Source organism: Homo sapiens, chromosome 7 (assembly GCF_000001405.40).
Source record: "Homo sapiens chromosome 7, GRCh38.p14 Primary Assembly".
In the NCBI taxonomy this organism is placed as follows: domain Eukaryota; kingdom Metazoa; phylum Chordata; class Mammalia; order Primates; family Hominidae; genus Homo; species Homo sapiens.
Genome location: NC_000007.14, coordinates 1,350,006 through 1,353,000, shown reverse-complemented (window position 1 = coordinate 1,353,000; position 2,995 = coordinate 1,350,006). Strand labels below are relative to the sequence as shown.

Genomic DNA, 2,995 nt, shown 5'->3' with positions numbered 1-2,995 from the left:
CTTTGGGGTGGAGGAGAGGCTCCTTCACCTGCCTCGAGCCTGACTTGAAGTTAATAAAATCCCGGCCAAAGGATGACCTCGAAGCCGGTTCCCTGTCCTCCTGAAGGCCGCGGCAAGGCCCCTCATAAAAGGTTATTAAGGAAAGTAAATAACTCAGCCTGTGGGGGAGGCTTCCTGGCAGAGGCATTGGGGGCCCTGGGAGAAGGCGAGGGCCTGGACCTGTGTGCCGGTGGCCGAGAGTGATGGGGGCCTGGGCCCTGCCTGTAGCTATCCATGTAGGGAGGGGTGGGGTAGGGTGGGCGGTGGCTGCCCAGATTCCTCTTGGAAGCTCTGGTTATAAACCTGAGCATAGAATGTACAGGTTGGGGCAAACGTGGGCTCCTTTGGGGCCCTCTGGGGTTTACATCCCTCTGGGACGCAGCGGGAGCTTAGCCTGGGGAGGTCCTGGCCCTGTACTGGGGGCATGGTGTGGAGCTGGGGGCGGGGGCCTGCACCTGTGGGGCCGCTGCACTGGCTCAGCACGTCGGGCGTGCGTGTTAGGGCAGGAGGCCCGGCCGCAGCGGCTCCCCTGCTCAGGGAATGGCCTCTTCTCTCTTTGGAGTTTGAGGCCCCAAAGGCCTCAGGGGCAGCATTAGGGTCTTGTCCTAAAGGACTCTCCAGGAGCTGTGGGTTGGGATCCCGTGGGAGGCCCGTATGCTGCCCAGGGGACTGGGGACTCCCCTGTGTGACTTGCAGGGCAGAGACAAACCCTCAGTACCTTCCAAGCCTCTGTGTGCTCACCTACAGGTGGGGATGGTCAGCAGAGACGCGGGAGGGAGCAAACTGGAAAGCGCGGCACCCATCGGGGTCGGCAGCCATAGCTCATGGGACGCAGGATGGACGCCCTGAGCCTGGGCGCTGAGCCGCCATCTGCTCTGGGCCAGCTCGGTCAGCCCCGAGTCCCCCTGCAGATCTTGGCTCACCACAGCCGAGGGCCTCCAGGCCTGTCCCGAGACCACCAGGAATGGGCCCCTCCCAGCCTCCAGTGGCCGGGCAGCTTGGGTGGCCCCAACTGAGGGCCAGGGGACTCCAGCGGCTGTGGCCTTTCCCTCAGCTGCCCCTCGCCCCCACCCCCTACTAAGATTTCAAAACTTACTACAAAGCTGCAGTAATGAACACAGTGTGGTCCTGGGGTAAAGACACGCATGCAGATTAAGGGAATAAAAGAAAATTCAGAGACCAGAAATAAACACACTCGTTCACTGATTTTTTCCAACAAGGGCATTCAATGGGCGTTTTCCACAGACGGTGCTGGGACAACTGGACGTCCACAGGCAAGAGTGTGAAGGTGGACTCGGCCTCACACCACATGCAAAAATTAACTCAAAATAGGTCACAGGGGCCAGACGCAGAGGCTCACACCTGTAATCCCAGCACTTTGGGAGGCTGAGGTGGGAGGATCGCTGGAGCCCAGGAGTTTGAGGCTGCAGTGAGCTATGATCATGCCACTGCACTCCAGTCTGCATGATATGGCAAGACTCTATCTTTATAAAAAACTTAAAAATTAGCTGAACGTGGTGGCACACGCCTGTAGTTCCAGCCACTCAGGAAGCTGAAGTGGGAGGATCACCTGCGCCCGGGAAGCCTTGACTTCATGGGCTTGACTTGAGGCCCAGAGACTGAGTATCCCCAGCCCTGAGGTCAGCAAGTGGGCGGGTATGGATGAGCTATTATCACGCCACTGCACTCCAGCCTGGGTGATACAGTGAGACCCTGTGTAAAAAAAAAAAAAAAAAGAAAAGAAAAAGATCACAGACCTAAACGTAAGAGCTGAAGCTATAAAGCTCTGAAAACAAAACACAGGAGTAAATCTTTGTGATCTTGGGTTAGACCAAGCCTTCCTAGATATGATATGAAAGTCACGAGAGAAAAAAGAAAAACAGAGATACACTGGACTTCATCAAAATTAGAAGGCTTTGTGCTTCAAAGGACATCGTCAAGAAAGTGAAAAAAACCACCTGCAAAACGGGAGAACATTTTTGCAAAACGTATTTCTGATAAGACACTTATGTCTAAAATATATAAAGAACTATTGTAACTCAATAACAAAGAAACACATAGCCCGATTTTTGAAATAAGCAAAGGATTTGAGGAGACACTTCTCCAAAGATGATATAAAAATGGCCAATAAGCACAGGAAGATACTCACCATCAGCCATCACGAAAACACAAATTAAAATGAGATGGCCCCTCATACCCACTAGGACGGTTAAAATAAAGCAGACAGATATTGACAAGTATTGGTGAGGAGGAGAAATTGGAAAGTCAGAACTCCAGCACACTGCTGGTAGGCAGGGAAAAAGGTTGCATCCACTTTGACAAACAGTTTGGGAGTTTTTTCTTTTTCTTTTCTTCTTTCTTTTTGTTTATTTTGAGATTGGGTCTTGCTGTTGCCCAGGCTGGAATGCAGTGGTACAATCACAGATCACTGCAGCCTTGAACTCCTGGACTCAAGCGATCCTCCCATGTTAGCCTCTTGAGGACCTGAGACCACAGATGTGCACCACCATGCCCGGCTAATTTTATTTTTTTATTCTTTTATTTTTTTGAGACAGAGTCTCAGTCTGTCACCCAGGCTGGAGTGCAGTAGCACGATCTCGGCTCACTGCAACCTCTGCCTCCCAGGTTCAAGCAATTCTCCTGTCTCAGCCTCCCGAGTAGCTGGGATTACAGGTGTGCACCACCATGCCCAGCTAATTTTTGTGTTTTTAGTAGAGACAGGGTTTTACCATGTTGGCCAGGCTGGTCTCGAACTCCTGACCTTAGGTGATCCAACTGCCTCAGCCTCCCAAAGTGCTGGGATGATTTTTTAAATTTTCAGTAGAGACACAGTCTTGCTATGTTGCCCAGGCTGGTCTTGAACTCCTGGGCTCAAGCGATCTTCCCACCTCAGCCTCCCAAAGTACTGGGATGACAGTCGTGAGCCACCACCCCCAGCTGGTTTGGGAGATTTTAA

At 52.3% G+C, this 2,995-nt stretch overlaps 1 annotated feature.

Annotated features, from left to right (window-relative positions):
- Positions 1,622-1,822: a silencer, noted in NCBI's record as "peak6340 fragment used in MPRA reporter construct". NCBI's record gives its function as "represses an SCP1 promoter by STARR-seq MPRAs in K562 erythroleukemia cells {active_cell/tissue: K562}" and the evidence as "EXISTENCE:reporter gene assay evidence [ECO:0000049][PMID:32103011]".